At 47.9% G+C, this 24,130-nt stretch overlaps 2 long non-coding RNA genes across 5 annotated transcripts, besides 3 other annotated features; one reads left to right on the top strand and one right to left on the bottom strand.

The window, feature by feature from the left end:
* Nucleotides 2,410–2,679: an enhancer, noted in NCBI's record as "active region_7532". NCBI's record gives its function as "activates an Ori minimal core promoter by ATAC-STARR-seq in GM12878 lymphoblastoid cells {active_cell/tissue: GM12878}" and the evidence as "EXISTENCE:reporter gene assay evidence [ECO:0000049][PMID:35858748]".
* Nucleotides 3,001–18,270, bottom strand: LINC00385 (long intergenic non-protein coding RNA 385). Of its 4 annotated transcripts, none has more exons than NR_187532.1 (3): nucleotides 17,135–18,270; nucleotides 11,505–11,642; nucleotides 3,001–3,446 (listed from the first exon to the last, which is right to left on the bottom strand). It is a non-coding gene; the product is annotated as a long intergenic non-protein coding RNA 385 (long non-coding RNA). The 4 variants fall into 4 exon arrangements; NR_187535.1 differs by lacking the exon at nucleotides 3,001–3,446 and having other exon boundaries at nucleotides 11,440–11,564; nucleotides 17,135–17,743; nucleotides 17,891–18,270; NR_187533.1 differs by lacking the exon at nucleotides 11,505–11,642.
* Nucleotides 12,227–12,636: an enhancer, noted in NCBI's record as "active region_7531". NCBI's record gives its function as "activates an Ori minimal core promoter by ATAC-STARR-seq in GM12878 lymphoblastoid cells {active_cell/tissue: GM12878}" and the evidence as "EXISTENCE:reporter gene assay evidence [ECO:0000049][PMID:35858748]".
* Nucleotides 17,574–18,773: an enhancer, noted in NCBI's record as "BRD4-independent group 4 enhancer chr13:30727396-30728595 (GRCh37/hg19 assembly coordinates)". NCBI's record gives its function as "activates an origin of replication core promoter dependent on BRD2, P300/CBP, MED14 and CDK7 cofactors, and independent of BRD4, by STARR-seq in HCT116 cells {active_cell/tissue: HCT116}" and the evidence as "EXISTENCE:reporter gene assay evidence [ECO:0000049][PMID:35650434]".
* On the top strand, nucleotides 18,958–20,146 carry LINC00384 (long intergenic non-protein coding RNA 384). Its single transcript, NR_138041.1, has 2 exons — nucleotides 18,958–18,998; nucleotides 19,883–20,146. It is a non-coding gene; the product is annotated as a long intergenic non-protein coding RNA 384 (long non-coding RNA).
* The last annotated feature ends 3,984 nt before the right edge of the window (nucleotides 20,147–24,130 follow it).

Here is a 24,130-nt window from a genome sequence, read left to right as displayed (position 1 = left end):
TGCCTGATATTTCTCCCGCTGGCTCCTTTCTTGTTAGGGCCAAGCTACCTGGAGTCTGGACTGCCGGGCCCCCCGGCTCTACTCTCTAACCACCACCTATGGACTCCTGCCTGCTTCATCTTCATCAAACACCTCTTGGCATGCACGTCACTTTCTCTTTGGCCCAAAAATATTTAATGGCCCCCATAATGAAAAGTTAAATTCATTAGCAGGTTTAAATTAATTAAACAGGCAAAAAATAAAATTCACTAGCAAAGTATTTAAAACCCTCCCAAATGCGTCTCCTTTGTCTCTCCCCTGCCCCTTCTCGTTACCTTCCAACACACTGCTTTCTTTCTGACCTTCAAGCCTTTCTCAGTTTCTCCTCTCCCTAAAGTCTTGCCTTCCTGGAGCTCCTTGGCCACCTTGAGGACAGCCCCTGCATCTTAGAGCAGTGACTGCTGGCCTCACTTCCTTGACTTTGATTTTAGTTTTCCTGGAAACAACGTTGTCTTTTTCTACTTTCCAGCCCATTTCTCCTCACTGGACACTTGAGCTTCTTAGGAACCAGGCCGGTGCCTCCCATGCCTCCCGCCTTGCCTCCTGGCATCTCCAGCACCCACATAGCACCGTGTGGTCTCAGGCAAGGCTGCTGCTGGTGGGCTGTGTCCCAAGAGGTGACCGGGGCACTCACAGAGAATGCAGCTCGTGTACTCAGACAGGCATGGACTGGCCTTGTCTATTTTACTCTGTGAGCAGGTCTGAACCTGGAAATGCTCTTTTCTTTATTTTAGTCTTGAGAAAGATTCATTTTGTTGTGAATGCTGTCTCTACAAAGGGAGAGTCCTTGTTGGGACTAGGATAAAATTATCAAAATTAGTCCCAGAAACAGCAGTAATTTAGGAATGCCTTACCTTATCCTGAGGTCGTTTATTCAGCAAAGGTTGATGTGCCTTGCTAGTGAGAAGCACCCTGCAAGCTATTGGAATCACCGTTCCTGTCTTCCAGGACTGGGAAGAGAGGCAGATAAATGCATGGACATATTTTTTTCCAGAGTCAGAAGTGCTGCAGGAGCATAGGCACGTGGTGTGGGTGCCCCCGGGAGAGACACCTCACACAGTCAGGAGGGTGCAGGGAAATTTCCTGCGGAGGGGCTGTCTCAAAAGATGGACGGGAATCAGTAGAGAAGGGGAGGCAGAGAGGCTATACCAGTCAGAAGGAACGGTGGGTATGAAGGCCGGGAGGTGAGAAGAGAGCATGGTGCACTCTTAGAAACAACAGAGGAAGTTTAGAGCGCCACACGCACGAGGGTGGGGTAGGTGGTGCAGGGGCCGGATTATAAAAAACTGGCAATGCTGTGTTGAGGATTTAGACTCAGAATAGAGTATTTTGACAGGCAGCCTCTGAGACAGCTTCTGGGAAGTGTTCCCTCCTCTTCTATTTTTTGGAAGAATCTGTGAAAGATTGATGTTAATTCTTCATTAAATGTTTGGTAGAATTCATCAGTGAAGCCATCTGGTCATGGGCTTTTATTTCGTGGGACATTTTTTGATGACTAATTCAACATCTTTCTTGTTATAGGTATATTCAGATTTTTCTCTTTCTGAGTTTCAGCAGTTTGTGCGTTTCTATAAATGTGTCCATTTCATCTAGGTTATCTAATTTGTTGGCATATAACTGCTTGTAGTATTTCCTTCAAACTCTAGTTTTGCAAGTAATGCCCTTTCTCCGTACCTGATTTTAGTAATTTGAGTCTTCTCTCTTTTTTTCTTGGTCAGTTTAGTTAAATGTTTTGTGATTTTGGAGATCATTTGGTTTTATCGATTTTTCTCTATTTTAAAAATTCTCCATTTTATTTATTTTCTTTCTAATCTTTATTATTTTCTTCCTGATGCTTATTTTTGGGTTTAGTTTGTTTTTCTAATTTCTGAGGATGGAATGTTAGATTATTAATATGAGACTTTTCCTTTTTTCTTAAAAATACATGTTTACAGCTACGAAATTCCCTATAAGCACTGCTTTAGTGCATCCTTCATTGTTGCTATGTTGTGTTTTCATTTTCATTCATCTCAAAGCATTTTTAAGTTTATTATGGGAATTGGCTCACACGACTTTAGAGGCCCAGAAGTTCCCTGATAGGCTCTCTGGAAGTCAGATTCTGCTCCATCCCCTGGGCCTGTTGTTGTTGCTGTTTGTTGCTATTATTTTACTCAGGGATATTTCTAAATATCTTCTGTAAAGTCTATATTCTTTATCATGTTTAGCCACTGAGCTCTCTGCTCAATCAGCTCAGTGGTCAGTTAATGAATGGACAGAGGTTTCCTTGAACGCCAGTGACCAGTAAATCTCCCAGTCCTTGGAAAGCTGCTGTGTGTGCACGTTGGACACTCCTTCAACACTCAGCCAGGCAGTTGAAACTGTGCCTTAGCTTTCACTTTCTGGTTTTACAGAGCCCCAAGATCAGCCAGAAGTGAGCTCTTGGGGCCTTCTTAGGTCTTTTCTGAGCATGTGCACAGCCCTGGACACATGCAGAGTCCTACACATGCCCATGACCTTCTAGATGCCCAGAAAGTGGGTGAAGCTTGTCTAAGACCCCATGGAGAGCTCATTCCCCAGATTTTACTTTTATGGTTTTTGATCAGCTTATTGTCTGCCCAACTGTGATCCACAGCCTTAGGCAGCCACAAAGCACCCAGCCAGAAAGTTAAACAACAGTCTCTAATTTTTTTATTTTTATTTTTTTACAAACACCCCTGGAGAAAAGCCTTTTGCACTAGGTGAGCTCTAAGTCAGGTCTAATAAAGATGACCTTATAAGTGCAGTCTTCCAGGGGACTACTAGAGAGGCTAACTAATGACGATTCCATGGGAATGAGGCTTTAAAGGACCCCCGACTCCATTTCTCTCTCTCTGATAGCTACCAGGCTGCTGTCTTTTACTGTGATTGTTAGTTTTCTAGGGAACCACCACGTGGGAGATAGGGAGATAGGAATAGGGCAAGTTGAAACACCACAAAGTTTGCTGTTCATACCAAGACTCAGCCATTTTAATTAAATAAAAGCTTCCCGGATTATTCCAAGCCTTTGGTGGTTAACTTTCAGAGTTCTAGAAAAGTTGATTTTGACATTTTTTGCCAGTTTTCTTGCCTTTTTTTTTGAGGAGAGAATTTTTTGATTGTCAATTATTAATTGGTCAATTATTAGTCCATTTGGATGATCTGTTATCAATCAGTTTTATGTTCAGAGGATCACTCTGGTCCTAGTATGTGGAAGACACTGGGGTTTGAGGAAGGCTGGAGTGAGAGGATTGAGTTGGGAGTTTCATGGTCAACAGGCAACAGATGATGGAAACCTGCACTGAGGCGGTAGCAGCGGAGACACCACCCAGACAGTTCAGATGTGCCAGATGATTACAGCTTGCCAGGTTCTGTGTTCAGTGCTTTGCTTCCTCTTTTGTACATCATCGTACCTATTTTAACAATGATAAAAGTATTAATACCTTGCCCAAGGTCACACAGCTAAAATGGGGTTAGAGCAGGTTTTGGAATCTATATTTGTGTGACTTTAAAATCCATGTTTATAATCACTACCCTGCATTTCTAGATGCAGGCTTAATGACTATAGTAAAAAAATTATTCATTTGACAAACATTTATTGATGACATGTTATGTGCAGGTACTATTCTGGGGGCTGGGGAAATAATAGTGAACAATATAGAAAAAAACTGGCCAGGCATGGTGGCTTACGCCTATAATTCCAGCACTTTAGGAGGCCAAGACAGGGGGATTATTTGAGGTCAGGAGTTTGAGACCAGCCTGGCCAACATGGTGAAACCCCATCTCTACTAAAAATACAAAAATTAGCCAGGCTGGTGGTGCATGCCTGTAACCCCAGCTACTAGGGAGGCTAAGGCAGGAGAATCACTTGAACCCAGGAGACAGAGGTTGCAGAGAGCTGAGATAGTGCCACTACACTCCAGGCTGGGCAATAGAGTGAGACTGCATCTCAAAAAAAAAAAAAAAAAAAAAAAAAGAAAAAAACTCCCTGTTCTCATGGTGCTTACATTCTCATTGGCAAAGGCAGACAATGAAAAAGATATATATGTGTGCGTTATCTTATGTAGGGTAGTGACACATGTTAAAATACAATAAGGAGAGAAAGAGGGCATTGGGTGGGTGTGGGTGGATGTTTGTATTAGTCCGTTTTCACACTGTTGATAAAAACATACCCGAGACTAGGCAAATTACAAAAGAAAGAGGTTTAATGGACTTACAGTTTCACATGGCTGGGGAGGCCTCACAATCATGATGGAAGGCAAGGAGGAGCAAGTCGCATCTTATGTGGATGGTGGCAGGCAAAGAGAGAGCTTGGGCAGGGTAACTCCTTCTTATAAAACCATCAGGTCTCATGAGGCATATTCACTATCACGAGAACAGCACAAGAAAGACCTGACCCCCAGGATTCAATTACATCCCACTGGGTCCTTCCCACAGCACGTGGGAATTCAAGACGAGATTTGGGTGGGGACACAGACAAACCATGTCAATGTTTAAATAAAGTAGCCAGGTAAGGCCTCACTTGAGAGCGATGTTTGAGTAAGGACCTGAAGTCGGGGGAGGAGTCACATGTATATTCAGGTGAACAGTATTGCGGGCAGAGGAAGCAGCAAGTGGGCGCAAAGGCCCTGAGTGGGAACAGCAAGGAGCTTGGGTGGTGAATGAAGCTGATTGAGCGCAGGGGAAGAGTCTGAGGAGATGAGGACAGAGAAGGAATGAGGATTCAGATCCCTCGGACCTTGCAGGCCACTGACAGGAGTTTGACTTTGCAGAGCAACGTGATTAGAAGGATGACTGATTTTTGTGTTGAGAACAGGGAGACAAGGCCAGAAGCTGAAAGGCCAGGCAGGAAGCTGTGCAGTAATCCAGGAAAGAGCAGTAGCAGTGTGGCCAGAAGTGGGAGCAGCAGCAAGGTGAGAAGCAGTCAGCCTCTGTAGACTGTATTTTGCAGGTGGAGCTTACAGGATTTACTGAGGGCCTGGAGGTAGGGAGTGTGGAAAGAAAACTGTCAAGGATGACTTCAAGTTGTTGGGCTTGAGCAACTGGAAGGATGGAGTTGTCCTTGCTGAGATGCGGCAGAGTGGGAGGAAGAGGTCTGGGGAATTGGAGCAAGGCTGAGTCTGGGGCTGTTTCGCTTGAGTTACTGATTCAACATCCTCACGGAGCTTCCTAGTAGGCAGATGTATAAACAAGTCTGTCGTTGAGGGAAGGCATGAACATATAGATGGCATTGAAAGCCATGAGTCTGGATGAGCAGGAGTAGGCGGGACGAGAGGACCCAGAAATGACCAATACCAGCCTCCTGGTTCAGGGTGTGAGGGTTGGACAGCATGGACGAGAATACTGGAGAAGCACAGCCCTCTGTCCCTCCTCAGCCTTGTCTCCCACCCTGTCTGCCTCTATAGAGGTATTATTGCATTAATGACATTCACATTAACAACCTTGATTCATAAATAGAAATAAATGAGCAAAGCAACAGCGCGGGGTGAGGCTGAGCACCCAGGTGTGCACTCTGCACTCGGTGCTCCCTCTTGGGCCATCTCAGTAAAGTTCCCTGTACTTCCAGAGGGCAAAGAGCTCTGACGTTAATTTTTAAAAGATTTCTACCAAAGAAAGTGAAACCTTAATTAAGCGTACATCTGAAATTCAAACAGATCAGCTCAGTTTTTGGTAAAATGAATTCACATGGACTAGCTCTTGCCCAGGGACATTGGATAAATGAGAATTGCTGCGTGTGAGTTAAATCAAGGTAGGGGGAGTTGGGAATCAGGGGAAGGAATTCATTCAAGTCCTCCTAGTCCAGGATCAATGACCATCCATTCATTCCTCAGCACTCTCCCCAGGCTGACAATGGGCACGGTTTGCTGGAGAGAGTTCGTATTCCCTGCTCGTATTAATCTTCCCTTTCCAGGGAGCTTGCCAGTTTGCTGAGGAAAACGCACGTCCCGTCAGCATTGCGGATGTGAATGAGAGCTCTTTGTTCCTCTTGCTCCTCCTGGTGACTGGCCCTCTGCTCTCCCAGAGGGACACCATCTTTTTAATCATTTGCCGCATACGGTTGGCTCAACCCAACCAAGCTTTTCTCTGCGCATCTTGTTGCTGCAATCTGTGGTTATAGTTCTTAAAGAAGAGGATGTGTTTTTCTATCCCCAAGGAATGAAGATTTCCACTTGGCATTGTTTTCCACCATCGTGTTTTTGTTGTTGTTGTAGAAATGGAGCAGAAAATCACTGCTGTTCTTTTATTGCCCAACTGTCCATGCCACTTCCAGTCCTCGGGAAGAAAATTGTTTTTGCAGATTTTATTCAGACATTTGGGTTACTCTTTACTGAAATCTTCACCATTCTTTCCTCTGACCAACTCATAATTCTGTGATGGAAAAAAAACCCCACTATTTTCATATCAGTGAAAAACCATCTGCTATTGTCTCCTTTCATTATTTTGCAAGCCATCACTTTGTCACAGGATATTTGTGAAACAGATGAAATGTTTATGCATATGTCATGCAACTTTACATTTTTAAAAAATTATTCCTGAGCTTTACCTATGTAGCAAACACAATGCTTATAGATAGTACTTCCTTCAATCTTCACAGCAACCAGGTGAGGAAACTTGTTTTTAATCCGATTTTATTAATGAGGCAACTGAAGCCAGAGAACTTGAATATCTTGCCGAAGGCCACACACAAGCTCAGCAGTGAGTGCTCTTCACAATGGCATCTGCTGCCCCTCATGAGATCAACTGCACCTCACAGCAAGAAGCTCTTATTTTCCAAGTTTGTGCATTTTGCATACCAATCACAATTTGAACCAAAATACTTCATGCTTCATTTTTGCCAAAGAGTTTAACACAGTGCATGTCAACTCCTAAAGAGATGCTGCACAGACTCATGCAACCAATTACACTAAGAGTAACAGGTTTGTGTAGGATGGTAAGGCTTAGAACTCCTTTTAAATGGTTTATTTTTCAAACCTGTAGCCCTGATTTAGAGCAAGCATTTTGTACCACTTGAAAGTTTTTGATTATACAACAACCAAAGAGTTATAAAATTTGAGCTATAGTAGCATGACAGGTTAACTCCAGCCAAGAGGCTCAGGTGAAAGAAAGACATGGTGGCAATGAGGAATTTCCATTAAATCTTAATTTCTTTCAGACTCCTAGCAGATACCCTCTCTAGAAGAGGGGGAGTTGGTCAAAAATGTCTTAAACTCATTTGGCAGATATTGGGAGCACCTGCTTACTAAGGTTCTAGGTTGAATGATTAGGGATAGATTTTGACAACGTGCTTGACTTGGTCATAGACTTACATAGTTACACTGGACAAGTCACAGAGACATTTTAAGGGATAAGCAAGATATAAATAGAAGTTCTGTTTTGTCCCGTGACCTGCAGGATCCTCTTGGTTGTCCCTGGGATGCAAGCGCCCTGCCGTGGGACCACTGCCTTCATGGTCACCACTTCCATCTCACTGATTCTTGTTTTTTCTAGGCTCTGGGAATCCACCTGCTCTTCAGATTGACACATTCTTTCGTTAGATATAAATACCTTCAATCAGATTACGGTGACGTCTCCGGGCCTTGGAGCCATTCTCTCTCTCTAAGCAGACTCTCTGCATCCTGACTGATTTACGGTTTGCCTCAGCAATCGGATTTCCTCCAGTTCTAAGCCCTCCAGGGCACATGTCAATCTCCTGTTAGGCTTGCAGCCTGCACTTTCCGTTTGCCTCCCAAGCTTTCCTCTGTGAAACCCTGTTCATTCTTCTCATGCATAATTTCCATTTCCCCACAGAGGCCGTAAACTCCACGAGGATATAGATTAATCTAAAATCTGTCTGTTTTCCTAGTGCCAAGTATGGTGCTTAGGAACAGCAGGGATTTCTTAAAGTTTGCTGATATTAGAACTTTCCACATCGACACGTGGTCAAATAGAAAACTCACAACTCATAATTGCTTCAGATCTTATAAATTCAAGTCTTGCAATTAAGCATAAAGGTAAATAGAATTCTAATACAATTTTTAAAAAAGACTTTTGCGTTAATAGCCTTCCTAGTTGCCCTTCTGGAAACTCCTCAGGAAGGAAAACATGTAAACGTCCTGACATGTGCCTGAGCTGAACTTTGCTCATTGATGGCTGGCCACAGTGTTTTAGTTCTTCCAAAAACTCCTCCTTTTGGTTTATTTGCCAACAGACTTCAGCTTCTTGAGCAAAGTGGCCTCCAGCCTCAACCTTAGCCTGGAGTTGCTGGAATTGGCCCTGAGGTGTTGCCAGACCTGACATTGAAAGAAGAGCAAAGGCAAGGCTGGAAGGATCTTAGAGAAGTTTCCACACTGAAGAGGTTACAAGAAAGAGGAAGCTCCCATAGTTCCTGCCCACAGGGAGACACACTCATAGTTAATGAGCATCTGTTATGTGCCAGGCACTGTTCTAGTATCTCTTCTAGTATCTAGTATCTCTAGTATTTTTCTCTATATCACAGAGCTGGTAGGTGTGTGGTGGAGCCAGAATTGGAACCCAGGTCCATCGGACTCGGAAAGACCAGGGCTTCATCTAGCATCTCCTGCTAGGCCTGGGGATTCCAGAAAATGGCCCATTTTTTAGCATCTTTCCTTGACTCTTCTACCTCTATCAGAAAGTGTCTTTGCCCTGTTTTCCTGGTAGCGTTCCTTTCTGATTAAGGTGGACTGGCAGTACGAAGGTTGTGATTAGTGATCGTGGGCCCACATCCCTCTCTGGCAACCTAGGTACATTCGACGCAGGTTTCTTAGGGCTACGCATAACACAACTGTGACAGAAGATATTTGAGGGCAGGCTAGCCTGTGCGGCTGATATAGTTTGGATGTTTTTCCCCTCAAAATCTCATGTTAAAATGTGATCCCCAATGTTGGAGGTGGGGCCTGGTGGGAGGTGTTTGGGTCATGGGGTGGATTCCTCATGAAAGGCTTGATGCCGTCCTCGGTAATGAGTGAGTTCTTGTTCTGTTAGTTCACCTGACAGCTGGTTGTTGAAAGGAGCCTGGCACCGCCCCACGTCTCTCTCTTGTCCCCCTGTTACCATGTGACATGCCTGCTCCGTCTTCACCTTCCATCATGATTGTAAGCTTCCTGAGGCCTCACCAGAAGCTGAGCAGATGCCAGTGCCATGCATGTACACAGCCTGCAGAACCATGAGCCAAATAAACGTCTTTTCTTTCTAAATTACCCAGCCTCAATATTCCTTTATAGCAATGCAAAACAGACTCACCAGGGGCTTTCTCAGATCACGTCACATAAACGGCCGTCTCTTGCGGCACACTTCTAGGCCTGTTGGGGTTTGTCAGGTTTAAGTCCTGGCAACAGTGGGAGACTAATTATGGATAATTACACTCTCCGCAGTCCTTACCTCGGGCTACATTGTAAAGACCACCAATGCACATAAGAACTGATTCTATTTGTTGCTTAATTAGAATGGAGGAGCAGTGAGCTGTTTTAAGAGAAATGTGTCTCTCCTTGTGCCGGCCCTTCCTTCAAGTTTAATTGAGATGTTTAGAGTTGTCGGTGCTTTTGAACATGATCTCAGTAAACTTTGCTCATTGATGGCTGGCCACAGTGTTTTATTTCTTCCCAAAACTCCTCCTTTTGGTTTATTTGCCAACAGACTTCAGCTTCTTGAGCAAAGTTACTGATGAGGGTTTTGCCCAAGAAGCCAAAGTCTGTTGGCAAACAAACCAAAAGGAGAAGATTTTTGTCTGTTTGTTTTTTTGACAGAGTCTTGCTCTGCTGTCCAGGCTGGAGTGCAATGGCATGATCTCAGCTCACTGCAACCTCTACCTCCCAGGTTCAAGTGATTCTCCTGCCTTAGCCTCCCAGGTAGCCGGGATTACAGGCACACACTACCATGCCTGGCTAATTTTTTATATTTTTAGTAGAGACAGGGTTTTGCCATGTTGGCCAGGGCTAGTCTCGAACTGCTGACCTCAGCAGATCCGACTTGCCTCAGCCTCCCAAAGTGCTGGGATTATAGGTGTGAGCCACCACACCCAGATGGAGTTTTAATACTGTACAAAATTGCACTCCTCTTCACCGAAGTGGGTTCAGGCGTCGTGTCATCCTATGTGTATCCTGTCCTCTGGTCTTTCTAAGCCATGGAAAAGTAGTCTCTCTGCTCTTTGAGCCCCATTCAACTTCAAAATGCAACAGAAATTTCAACAAGGTAGTACCTTTGTGTGTGCAGAGCCCCATTGTAGGTTCAGTGATGGGACAGGTGGAAGGTGCTATCTCTAATGGTGACAAATGACAGGCTGCCCACATTCTGAACACTCGATGCTTTTGAAATGTCCTTACTTCATTTACTTTTTTTTTTTGAGACAGAGTCTCGCTCTGTCATCTAGTCTGGAGTGCAATGGCGCGATCTTGGCTCACTGCAACCTCCGCCTCCTGGGTTCAAGTGATTCTCTGTGCCTTAGCCTCCTGAGTAGCTGGGATTACAGGTACCTGCCACCACGCCTGGCTAATTTTTGTATTTTTAGTAGAGATGGGGTTTTGCCATGTTGGCCAGGCTGGTCTCGAACTCCCAACCTCAGGTGATCCACCCACCTCTGCCTCCCAAAGTGCTGGGGTTACAGGTGTGAGCCACTGTGCCCAGCCTCATGGATGTCAATGAGGAAGGCATTGCTATCCCCATTTTACAGATAAGAAAGCTGGTCGGGTGTGGTGGCTCACACCTGTAATCCCAGCACTTTGGGAGGCTGAGGCAGGTGGATCGCCTGAGGCCAGGAGTTCGAGACCAGCCTGACCAATATAGCGAAACTCTGTCTCTACTAAAAATACAAAAATTAGCCGGGTGTGGTGGCATGCGCCTGTAGTCTCAGCTACTCGGGAGGCTGAGACAGGAGAATGGCATGAACCCGGGAGAACTGCTTGAATCTGGGAGGCGGAGGTTGCAGGGGAGACTCCGTCTCAAAAAAAAAAAAAAAAAACCTGAGGGTCAGAGAGCCTGAGTTACATGGTTGTTAGTGAAAGAGCCAGGATTTGAAGTCAGGCCTGGCCCCAAAGCTCATGCTCTTTCCACAGCCTTTGAACTCAGGTGACTGTGTGGCCTTCAGTGCTGATGGGCATGGGGTTGGGGATGATGGCTGGTGGCCTTTATTGCACGGCCATTGCGCATTAATCCTAGATTGACATACAACTCCTTGCCAAATCTGAGGAGTTTATTTGTAGTTCTTTCAACCTATCTCTGTATTGGGAGCTATAGTTTTGTTCTCTTCTCAATTGATGTTCTCTTCTCATCTAGCTCCCAGTCAGTAAACCCTGTCAGGTGTGTTTTAGGGTCTGACAGACATGGGCAACTTCACTTTCCTGTACCAGATGGTAATTTTGTTCATTTTACTCCAACGAGATGGGAATTAGAGGACATAAAAGACCAGCCAATAGGTTTCATGTTCCTTTTTATTTTTCCCCACTACAATGCAATGTCAAGTACTATCCAGGTCATACCTGCATGGCGGGATTCTTCGATGAGCCAAGCAGTCCTGGGCCCCAGAGCTGGGGCTGATCCTGTAGAGATGAGGGTGGACACGTCAGATTTACTCATGCATCTCAGCCCAGTCTTTGCAAGAACAGTTCCAGCCCGTTCTAGCAAAAGAGAGAGAGAGTGTGTGTATGTGTGTGTGTGTGTGTGTGTGTGTGTGTGTGTGTGACCTTTTCCCCAGGGAAGAATTGTAGGTCCCTAGTAACATCTCATCATAACTTTATTTTATCTTAATCAGCCACAGGGATGAGTTTCTCTCCAATTCACTGATAGAGACATTGTCAAAAGAGCAAATATAAATGATTCCTTTTCTTTTGAGACGGAGTCTCGCTCTGTTGCCCAGACTGGAGTGCAGTGGCATGATCTTGGCTCACTGCAACCTCCACCTCCCAGGTTCAAGCAATTCTCCTGCCTCAGCCTCCAAAGTAGCGGGGATTACAGGTGCCTGCTACCACGCCTGGCTAATTTTTGTATTTTCAGTAGAGACGGGGTTTCATCATGTTGGCCAGGCTGGTCTCGAACTCCTGACCTCAGGTGATCTGCCCGCCTCAGCCTCCCAAAGTGCTGGGATTACAAGCGTGAGCCACTGTGGCCAGCAATATAAATGATTCCTAAAGAGGAATGGGGGAATCTTCAAGCACGGATTTGCTGGTATAGTATTTCTTCTCCCTTGATGCAGAGACATCACTCCTCCCTTGTGAAGAGCCCATAGTCTTGGCTTGTTGATCTCATTGGCTTCCCAAGAGAAGGATGAATCATTATGCGGTGGTGTCAGGGTGACTCCAGCCACATGGGGGGATTCCCCTGACTGAAGTGCTTCCCACAGAATGTGAAGATCTTAGGCTTTCTGCTTTTCTCATGTTACAAAGGAAGAAACAGAGACCCTCGAGGTGGCAGGATGAGTCAACGTCACAGGGTGAGCAGGAGAGCCAGGACAGGCCCCTGGCAGGGCACTGAGCTCCTCTGGTGGGCCTTTGACCTCCCAGCAGGAAAATATCAACAGCCCTGTTTGTTCCATGTCCTCTGGGGACGTTTGTGAGAAAAGTCCATGCAGCTCTACACAAAAGCACAGAGCAGTGCTCTTTAAAAGAAGTGTTGTTCTAAAATAAAGATCTTCTAGGAAACTGCATCTCCAAAAGACAGTGTGGGGTGGTAGGAAGAGCGCTGGATGGAGGTCAGACCGTTTTGTCCTGTTTTCACCATGAATCATTTGCATGACCTTGGGGAAGTCATTTTACCTCCGGGGACTTTGGTTTATAAAATGAAGCAGTTGAGCTCGATGGGGTGGTTTTCCAATTTATCTGATGGTGGAGCAACTTCTGAAATTCCCCAATGGTGGAAAACTTTTCTTAGGAACCCAGTATATAAAACAGATAAAACGGGAGCTGCACTTGTTGAAGATCGGGTGAACACAGGGCCAGGAATCCACTCACTCTGGGCACCTTCCCAAACCCCAGACTTCCCAGGGACCCACAGGGCTCCACACAGTGCCGGAGTCGCTGCAGGCCTCCCTCACACACTGCCATATTTCTTACCAGGAGATGGCTCTCTTACCTCATTTCCAAACTGTACTACTTGGAGGAAAAGTTATTGATCAAACTAGTTTGTGGTCTTGCTGAGGAAAAATGCCTTCTGAACTCAGCTGGAGGAAACCACCAGGCAATGTGCCCTCATTGACCCTGCCCTGTGGTTTATAACAATGGGCCACCAGCATCCATGACTGGAGACCCTCCTCCCATTCTGCCATTCTGCCTCCTGAAGAATGCACTCCTAGACTAGCATGGAAGACATGGATCTTTTCTACCCCCAACATCCCAATGAGACCATCCTTAAATCAATGAAGCATAGCACTAAGGTCTGAATGTTTGTGCCTCTACCCCAATTCATATGCAAAATCCTAACCCCCCAGGTGATGGTATCAGCAGATGGGGCCTTTTGAGAGGTGATCAGGTCATGAGGACAGAGCCCTCATGAATGGGACTAGTACCCTTAGAAAAGAGACTGCAGAGAGCTAGCCAGTGCATACCACCATGTGAGGACACATGGAAGGTGTCATCTATGAGGAAGAGGCCCTCACCAGACACTGCTAGTGGCTTGATCTTGGACTTCCCAGCCTCTGGAACTGTGGGAAACAAATGTTTGTTGTTTATAAGCTGCCTCATTTATGGTATTTTTGTTATGCCAGCCCAAATGAAGAAAACAGAATATTTTTTTCTGTTTCAGAAAAAAATTTTCTGAATTTTTTTTCTGTTTCAGGAAAACAGAATAATTTTTAAAATACCTAAATGAGCATTAAAGTAAAATAGGAACAGTCACTTCCAAGATGGTTGGCTACAGTGTTCTTCTCCAACTAACCCTCCCCTTGAGAACAACTAGAAAACTGCATAAAATATTTTCGAAACTCTGCTGAGGGTATCAGAGTGCTCCCAGGGCAGTGAGGACTTGAGGAACCAAAATCAAGAGGAGAAGGGGATCACAGAGAGGGTGCCGGACATTCAGGTCCACTTTCCCTGCTGAAGCATTTGCCAATTCAGAGTGTCGGTGGAGGGGCTGAGAAGCTGAGTAGAACTTTGGGCAGTCTCACAGGGCTGGGGAAACACACCTCAGTGTTCAGGCCCTGCTGTGCAGGAGGCGGCCAGGCAAGCACTCCAGACTTTCAGGTGGGGCAGCGGACGGGATATCCCCAGGCAAAACGCTGAACCAGAAATAGACCCATCTTCACAAAGACCGAAACCAGCTTTGAATCAGCTCATCCAGTCTGGCTTAAGACAATCTGCCCCTGGCCTAAATGCCTGCCAAAAGCAAAAGTAAATCCTCTGCAGGCAGGCGGATAACATCATCTAGTATCTCAGATTATATCAATGATGTTGTATTTAGAATATCTGGTATTCAAAACAGAGAGATAGGTGTGAGACCCAGTTTGGGAACTGGCCCGGGGGTCTGGTTCAGCATATGATTTCTCATGAGGTGGGCAGTTCTTTGCAGAGGGGCCCATGTGATGGTGCTAACAGTGTTAGCTGCGGTGCAGAGGATGGTGTGAGCTGTGCACACTCTCTCATCTTCTCCAAACAACAGCTCGGGTGTCGCTGTTGTGATCTTTCTCATTTCACAGGTGAGAACACAGGCTGGGGGGTCTGACTTATGTCTATCTGACTACATAGCCTGCTTCTCCGCAGGGGCTCTTATTTGTGAATGTTGTGGGGTGACGGGCTCAAGGAAGATACTCACTCTGCGACTTAGCTTCAGGGCCTGGCTTAAGACTTGTTAAAGGAAACACTCATTTATCGGACGTCACATGCAGACAGCTCCTGGGTCTAAGAGGTACAGAGCACCACATCTGCAGGGGCGGCATGTCATACCACTTGGCTGGAGCTCCAGTGTCAACTTGCTGACGGCTGCTAATGCTGAGCAACGGTTGCCCGAACGTGGGACTGAATTCCTCCTCATCTCCTGGGAGGCCGGCATGGAAGGTGAAGCAGATGCCTTCACACCTCTGGGACCATGGACTGGGGGCCCTGCAGTGGGTTTCCCAGGCACGCCCTCAGGGAGTCCAAGCAGAAACCTGGAGCCCCGAGAAAGCTCTCTTGGGAAGTCACTGGGAGCTGCAGGATGTTCTTAGCAAGCACCTCATTCAGAGGGTTTTGAATTGGGCTCCTTGGGCCCTGGAAGTTCTTTGGAGCAATGCGGGGTGGGGCGGGGGAAAGGGGACAGGAGGGCTCGGCCCTGCCCAGCCCCGGATAAGCAGTATGTTTCACCCTGATCTGCTTTTTACATTGATGTTACACATAAGATTTTATTGTTTAAAATGTTTAACTTTTTTTTAATTTAAAAAAAGAGTCCAACTCTTTTTTTAAAAAGCTGCAAGATGGCCTTTCTGATCTAAGCTTATTGGAGAGATGAATATCTCAGGCCCAGTGAGGGTAGCTGATGTCTCCACACACAGAGACAATGGCAGAGCCATGAGCGTGGTTTTTCCCGACGACTTCCCCTGCCCTGAGTCAGGCCTGTAAAGACGGTACTAAAATATACACTGGATGATGTGTGTTGATGCTGAGCCTAGAAGACACGCCAGATTGTCCTCTACCCCAGACAGAAAGTAGTGACAGCCAGGCTCCAGAGGCAGGTATGGGCCAGCTAGTTATGACGGTGTTTTAATAGCAGGGCAGGGTTAAGGTCAGGAAGTTCTCTTCCTCTGAAATAGCTGGCCCCACAGCACAATGCCTGCCGGTCTGATGCCTAGGTCCAAGGCAAGAGGCGGCTTCCTCTTGGCCAGGACCCGCCTGGTCCTCAGCCTCCTTCGCTCTTCCCTTCCCTGAACCCCTTCCCAGAGTGGGGTTGGGGCAGGGGTCACCGACAGAGCCTCTTCTAGTTCTTATTTCCCCTTCCAGAGCCCTCCTCAGAACTCACCGGTGACTGTCAACAAAATGCCCCTAATTTAACTTTGGGAGTAATGAATCAATCTGGGTAAAATACCTATGCATTTTAGGAAGAAGAGAGAGCATTTCGGTGTCTCCTCCATCTTCTGTGAGTCAGGGCCTGCTCAGGTGGCCAGAGCAGGCACCTCAAGGAGAAATGCCTCAGCCCGTGTGGAGGTCACAAATTCCAAAAACATTCTTCTCCCCACAACTTTTTCCCCTTTAATGACACTTGCTATAAATTGCCAGATACTTTAAGTACTTAGGGCTGACTGCTTTTCCTCTTCCCAGCCACCACCCCTTCTGAGGGCAGCCCCGTGTCTTCTCTTCATTTCCATCCCAGCACACCAGCCTGCCACCCGGGCACCACCTTGGATGCTTCAGTCTCCTCACTCCCCACTTCCAGTGTATCGCCCACTCAGAAGTCCTTCTTGAGTCCTTTCCCTCTCCTCCACCCTCCTACCAGGGCTTTAGCTCAGGGGCACCCTCTTTTGCCAGCACACGCCCCTCTCCAGATTGACTGGCAGGTGCCCCCTCCATGGGGCAGAGGTAGATCACCAAGCTCTCATTTGGGCCACGGGCTGGCCTCCCAGCACCTCTGCATCGATGCTCATCCGTTCTGCCCATCACGAGGATACTGACTTCCCCTCCTGTGTGCTGGTATCACGCTTTGCCAGCATACACGACGGCAGAGGACACAGACCTGGACATGACTTCCTGGGTCATATAGACCAACTGGGGAGACCAGCAGCAGCCAGGGAGAAACACACCTGTGCTTTCTCCCTGTGCTCCATCCTCTAGATCAGGAGGCCGGGGTGTCCTTGAGGAGGAGGGAGGCTCAGAGGGCTGAAGGGGACAATTCAGCCAGGTGGCGAGGGGAGGGGAGATGCCAAAGGTCTGGAGGTGCTCATGTGCCCTGCCTGCAGGGGGAGGCGGGGTGAGTGGAGCACAATGGGCGGGGGGAGCCTGGTGAGGGCTGACACTGGCGAGGACCTGCGGGAGCTGGTGTGGGATCTGGAACAATCCAGCGTGAGGCCCAGGGTATGGACTTGGGGTCCGACTGCCTAGGTCCAAATCCGGGCTCTATCCCTCACTAGTCTGTGATTGGGCCAGAGCCTTCACCTCCCTGGACCTCCGTTTCCTCACTGTAAAGTGGGACGGTGTGATAATAGACATCTTACCTTCAGAGTTGTGTGGGGAGAAGGAATGAACTGCGGAAAGCCTCTAGCAGACGGCCCACTGAACCGTGAGCGCGGTCCTGCTGACTGAGGGGCTCTGCGCAGCCTCACGGCCTCGCTGCGCTCTCAAGGCCGCTCGTGGTTGTGTGGAGATCACAGCAATGGGGGCGAGAGTGGACGCCGGAGTGCAGGTGGGGCTGGTGCAGACCTCCAGGTGCGGGTAACGGGGACTGGCCCGGGGTGGTGACGGGGGAGATGCAGGGAATGGGCAGACAGGAGAGATACTTGGGGCAAGAACAAACAGGACTTGCTGATGGAGTCGGTATGGGGTGGGGGTGCAATAAGGGACATTGACCCTCAGGTGTGTGGGCTTGGAAACTAGGAGCGTGACGAGATTGTGCATCTGAGAAGTTTCTCTGACTTGCCCAAGGTCACACAAGGTGTAGGTGGCAGAGCTGGGGTTGTTCTGACAACGAGGTGCGGTTCTTTCCTCTGCACAAGCCGGCTTCCTGGGATCGTGGCTCTTCTGGGGAGAGGGACCTTGGAGAGCGCCTGCCTTCGGGCAGGAGAATCTCCACTGGACGAGAGAGAATCTGGAGGTCAGGTGGTTTTCTGGAACGCACATAGCCAGGGAGGGGGAAGCAGGCAGGGGCTGCATCTGGCTGCCTGGGGTGGGCAGGCACTCTCTGTTCCATGCCACACAGAGAGTCCCCAAGGCCTTTCTGAAAAGCTCTTCCCAGCCCTTCCGTGATAAACAACCTGCTGTCCCCGGCTCCGGGCGGGAAGAATCTAAGGGGAGACGCTCCTCCGTTAGTCACGCAAGCTTGCCTGGGTGGTTAGCACAATGAAGCCGTCAAGCCACTAGGCAGGAAGGGCGGGAGCTGGCGTTTCAAGCACCGCTGCCCACCCGAGGGATGTGCAGGGTAGCAACAGCCCACGCCGGCGGTGGGGAGCAGCCTGGTCACCCACAGGAGCTTGTGAGGCCCGAGGAGTGTCCGTGTGGCAAGGCCCCTGCCCCAGCTTTTCATTTATGAAACAGAGCGTGACCTCCAGAACTCACTGGGGTTCTGTATGACGGAGCTCCCCGCGTTGGGCAAGCAGGGTGACCCCGTCCTCCATCATGGCTCTCTCACTGTGACGCCGACCCTCGGTCCCCACGCTCGGCTTGCAGTAGAACGTTTCCTCTCTCCAGGTTGTCATGACAATTTTCACTGAGAAGCTGTTTCTGTAGAGGGAGCAAAAAAAGAAACAGGGGGAAATGCTTATTAAAGCCAGGCCTAGTGAGTCTGAGGATTTCAGTGGTGTCTTTACATTCTCAGTGGCTTCTGAAGAAAAAGTGGAATTTCTGTCCTCTACACCAGCTGGCTGCTAGGAACTTTGCTGTTATATAGAGGCAATGCATGAAGTCCAGAATCCATTACATTATACTAATTATAGTAATAATGATAATAACAATTAAATGTGAGCCTTCAAAGGCAGGTCCCCTCCGGCAGAATCCATTAAGGAGAATGGGTGTAATTATTCGGGCAGTGGAGGCACAGTGCAATTTTAGGGGTGGTCAGTGTTATCCTGATAACAATCCCATTCTCTCCTCCTTCGTCACTGGCCATCTGGCCTTCCAGTGTCTTCTCCCCAGATCTCAACCATCTGTCCATCAATGTCTCACTAATTATTGCAAACAATTCTGTGTAAAATGAGAAGAAAGTAAAGGTTAACTTTCCCATTTTACAGATTAGTCATTGTCTTCCTGAACAAACAGTGAGGAAACCCAGGGGAGGTGACCCCTCAGTGAATGTATCCTACAGAAGAGCCGGATCTGGAACTCTGCTTGAGCAAGCCAGTGTAAAAATTACAACAGCTTACTGAGGTTTCTATTTTTCCTTATTTTTCTCTCTGCACTAAACAAACACACATTCATTGTGGTAAATCTGAAATACATAGAAAAGCCTAAAAGAAAAATCACCCCAAATCTTAATGTCTGGGATTAAACCTAATACCGAGGAATACCTTGTCCACCCAAGCTTGGTGGCTGATGTGAGTCAGGTCAGGAGGGATTGGGAGGTACAGTTCTGTCTTCACGCCCCCCTCCTGGAAGGCTGCAGACTTCTGGAGCTGCATCCATACCCATACAGCTCTAGAACCTCCGCCTGTGTGGGGTTGCGTGTCAAACACTGGAGCTTCTGGAGCTGCCTGGGCTTTGGCTCATTAGAACTCAGGGATGAAGTAGAAACTGTAGGTCCCTGCTGAAGAGCATCCAGTCTTTCCATTCATCCGTTGAGCATGCACCAAGGCATTGAGAGGATAGAGATGATGTTGTGAGGATACAGATAGAGATATAAAGAAGCTGTAGTCCTTATCTTTAAGCAGCTTGCAGACTAACTTGGGAAACAGATGCTTGAATGAACTAGTAAAACTGTGCTCAGCAATGCGCTTCATTTTACGGATGAGCAGAGGGAGGCAGAAATGCAACGTGGTTGTTAGGGTCTGAGTGCAGCAAGTCCCCATTTCAAGATCAAATTTCAGGTGATAGACAACCTCCAAGGTACCCCCCAATGACCCTTGATTTTTGCACCTCATATGGTCTCTTCCCACGCTGCATCAGGGTTGGTCTGTGAGGCCAGCTGATGTGGCAGAGCTGATGATATGTGACTTCCAAGGCTGGGCAGGAAAGGCATTGAGGCTTCCACCTTGTTTTGTGGATCACTTGTTCAGAGGGAAGTCAGCCAAAATATTCTGTGAATTCTCAAATAGCCCTGTGCAGAAGCTGATATTGAGAGCATGGAGGCTTCCTGCTAAAGGCCAGCATCAGCTTGTCAGCCACACAGGTGAGGCTGGGAGAGGATCCTCAGTCCTGATCAAGACTTCAGATGAGATCACAGCCCTGGCTGACATCTGACTGCAACTTCATGAGAGACCCTGAGCCACAGCCCCCAGCCCAGCCACTCCTGAATTTCTGGTCCACAGAAACTGTAAGAGATGTAAATAAATTATTATTGCTGCTTTTAAGCCACTAAATTTTAGGATGATTTGTTATGTAGTATTTGACAAAAAATACAGTATCTCTAGTTTCTCTCCCCCACATACACAGTGTTCATTTTGTGCCGTACACCAGGCTAAGGGATTTGCATTTGTAATCTGATTTAATCCTCACAACAGTAAGGCGGTAATGCCTATGAGGTGAGTATCAGTCTTATTTCCATCTGACAGATGAGGGTGCGAGGACGTAGAGAGGGGAAGGAGTTTGCTCAAGGTCAGGCAGCTATAAACTGGCAGTGCCTGCATTTGAAGTCAATGCTGCCTGACCCCAAAGCCCAAGCTCTTAACCACAACAGGTCTTGTGTTTTCTTGTAAATGCTCAGCCTAGGAAATATTTGTTGATGTTATATGCCACAGACACTGCCAGAGCCTGAGATACGCACCTGTCCCATGGTGCTGAGGGTGGGCTCTGGCAACATCATCGTAGCTAGTGGCCTCTCATTGAAGGCCCCAGGCCCCCTTCCTCATATCAGACCCTGCCTCCTTTCTCCAGATTCCAGGCTGCTGACTCCTTGGGTCTCTTTCCTCCACTGCTCCCTGACTGGCAGCAAAGAGACACAGGGTCTCAGCTGTCCCCAAAGACACACCCACAGGCCCTGTCTGTGGGAAGAGTTTTCTTGGTCACTGCCAGAGAACATGCTGGGAAAATGAAAATAAGCAACAGTGGAGAAGTCGTAAAGGTCACAGAAGCCCATAATGTTTCTGGAGTCCTGGTCCTTCACACAACATTTGTTACAAATCTGCCTTGTGCCAGGCACTTTTCTGGGCAGGCGGCGCAGATCGGCGAAGAAAGCAGACAGTGGTCCCACCTTGAGGGAGTTTAAATGGAGAGAGAGGGCAGTCAACAGTCATCTAAATTCGACAGGCTGCTCAGGGGAGAGTGCTGTGGAGGACAGGAAGGCGAGCCGAATGAAAGCGGCTGCGTGTGCTGGTGAGGCAGGACAGGCTGGGCATTGATCAAGGGGCTCATACAGAGGGCGAAGGGGTTGGTAGAGTGACTGACTGTCCCTGCTTGCCCAGGACTGAGGGGCTATGGGAGTTTTCATGTTAAAACCTAGAAAATCCTGGGCTGAGACAAAGCAGCCATGCTAAAAGTTGGTCAAGCAGATACTGGGGAAGATTGCCCAGGGAAACCGCTAGATCAGCCAGGGTTGATTTTGGCCCTGGGGGACATTTGGCAACATCTGGAGACATTTTTGGCTGCAAACCTTGGTGAGGGTTGGGGGTGCTATTGGCATCTGGCGGGCAGAGACCAGAGATGATGCTAAACTTTCTACAGTACACAGGACAGCCTTCTCCAATAAAGAATTCATTATTTGGCCCCAAATATCCAAGTTGACATATCTTGAGCTAGATTCTTGGTCTTTCATTCCTGATTCACTTCTGAAATTTCATTTGCCTTTTGCTTTCCCTTTCTTCTCCTGGGGGAGGAATATTTCTCTGGTCACACCTGAAGATAAAGGCCTTACTCCTCTTCCTTCAGAAAGTGCCTCCTCTCCAAATACCTCAGCACGGGGATGTGAAATGCAAACCCAGACAGACCAGCAGGGCCCTGCCTGCTGGGTGCTGTCCCCATCTCCCTGTGCCTCCAGCCCAGCCACTGCTAGTTCATCTTTCCAGTGAAAATCCTGTAGGTTCTCTCAGTGTCTGGCCACTCAGCAGCCCCTCCAATCTCTCCAGGAGGCTACAGGCACAAGCTGGATTCTCCCATGCAATAGGCCTATGTGGTCTGTGCTGGATGGCAGCCCTTCAGCAGAAAGTTCTGGGATGGTCTATGGACTCCAGCTTAGGTGACCAGGCTCTATGAAAGAGAGGGTGTATTGTATTGACCCTTTGTGCCACACTGGGAATTGGAGAAGTCAAGATATTGTCCTAGTCCCTTAGAAAATAATTGGGGCCAAGACTTCCTGGCATCAGGCATTTGGAAATACTCCAGGGTACCATGACTGACACTTGACCCCCATTCGTTTTACCTCTGACCAACCCCCGTGCTGCTGGCAGAGAAGGGAAGCTGGCAGCTAAGATGTCCTAAGCCACTGGCAGCCCAAGTCCTTTGCCTCATGGCCAATCTGTGAGGCAGAAGCTGGGTTTCGTAGAGCCCCAGTTTCCCTGGAATATTCTCAGATCAAGAGGGATTAGAATGTATTCAGTTTGCAGATTTTGGATTCTCTGAGGTCTTTATATAAGTTCAGTGAGGGCTGAGATCTTTTAAACATTTATCAATGAAACCCAAGTTTTTACCAAGCCTCTACTATGCCCAGCCCATAGTAGAGGCTTGGTAAAAACTTGGTGAACTGAGTATCATTAATAGACTGGAGTGGCCCCCTCCCATGCCCTGCTGCAGGATGCTCTGTCAGAGGCTTCTTCTCAGGCATATGAGGCTCAGGGACACTCATCCCTGCCTGACCTCCTCGGTGGCTGACTCGTCATCCCAGATCCTGATCTTGCTGTCCCTGCCTGAGCATGCAGTGCTTCCTGAGGTTCCCCTAGTCTTCCCCATTTCTGCATCACCAGGGCTGAGCACAGCCCCTGGCACATAGTAGATGCTCAATAAATATAGGTTGGTTGATGGAAGGAGTCAAGCTCTCCTTGGCTCTATACCAAGAGCCAACCTGCATGGGCACAGGACGTAGCTCTTCACTTGGACCTGGGGGATGAAGGACTGTTGGATTCGATCTATTTTGTACAAATCTGGCTTCCCAGAATGTGAAACATGAGACTGGCTCCCTGGCTCACCATCCGCCTGCCTCTTCCCATTGCCAGGCTGAGAATCACCACTGGTGACAAATGCTGGACGGCCTGGCTGACAAGTGGTCCTGCGTGAGCAAGGCACTGGCAGCTCTGAGTGCCAAGCTTTGGCTTCCTGTGCATTTGGGGCTGCGCATTTGGAGAAGATCCACCACTTAACAGAGGGGAGCTGCTGGAGTGACAAGCAGCATCCTCACGCCAGGAGAGCTTCCTGCCCAGAACGTATGGTATATGTCCAAGGGCTCTCAAGGTACCCGAAGCCATGCCAGTTGCAATAATTAAGCAGTAAGACCCAAGCGAATAGGTTTGCTGTGGCTGCATGACAGCCAGATGCCTGGGGTGTGAACTGAGGCCCGCCTCACACTGAAAACTGTCTTGTTGCGACTATAAAATCGTCAGTGACAAATGGAAGGAATGATCGTGCTGGTGATTTGGTGCTAACGTGGCAGCTCACTCCAAGGACTTCCACACGTCATCTCCTCCACCCTGACAGCATCTCAGGAAGGCAGGAAGTTGGCCCGACCTCTGCCTTCCACTATCCAGATGGACACCCGCCACCTGGGGCCTGGGCCTAAGCCAAGTGCCTCCGCATAGGTGGACTTAATGTTCCTAATCCCCTGCCCAAAGCCCCATCTTTGCCCCATGCTTTTCAGGCTATGAGTACCAGGCCCTGGGTGAGTCATTCTCAGATGTCATCTATGTCAAGTCTCATAGCAGCTCTACTATGTAGGGTTCTATTAGCCCCATTCCACAGGTGAAAAAACTGAGGCTCAGAAGTGTCAAGTTATTTACCCAGGCCACAGAGCCAGTCAGTGCCAAGGAGGGAGTGCAGCCCAGCTCTGCTGATCTCTAAAGCTTGTGCTCTCAACTACCACAATTTCCTGCCTTTTTTAAACAAACAAAAGTGGGCGTTATAACTGGGTGTTGTATTTCCTGTAACAAAGTACCCAAACTATAACTGGGTGGCTTAAAACAACAGAAATTTATTATCTCACAGTTCTGGGGCTGAAAGTACCAAATCAAGGGGTTTGCAGGGCTGTGCTCTCTTGAGGGCTCTGGGGGAGAATCTGTTTGCTGCCCCTCTCTTGGCTGCTGGAGTGTCTGGCAATCTCTGGGGTTTCTTGGCTCACAGCTGGGCAACTCCAACCCCCCATCTTCACAAGGCATTTTCATGTGTGTGTTTTCACAAGGCCATCTTTTTATCAGGACATGAGT

The sequence above is a fragment of the Homo sapiens genome, chromosome 13, assembly GCF_000001405.40.
Source record: "Homo sapiens chromosome 13, GRCh38.p14 Primary Assembly".
Lineage (NCBI taxonomy): Eukaryota > Metazoa > Chordata > Mammalia > Primates > Hominidae > Homo > Homo sapiens.
The sequence above is the reverse complement of the archived record's forward strand: the minus strand, read 5'-3'. Positions and strand labels throughout refer to the sequence as shown.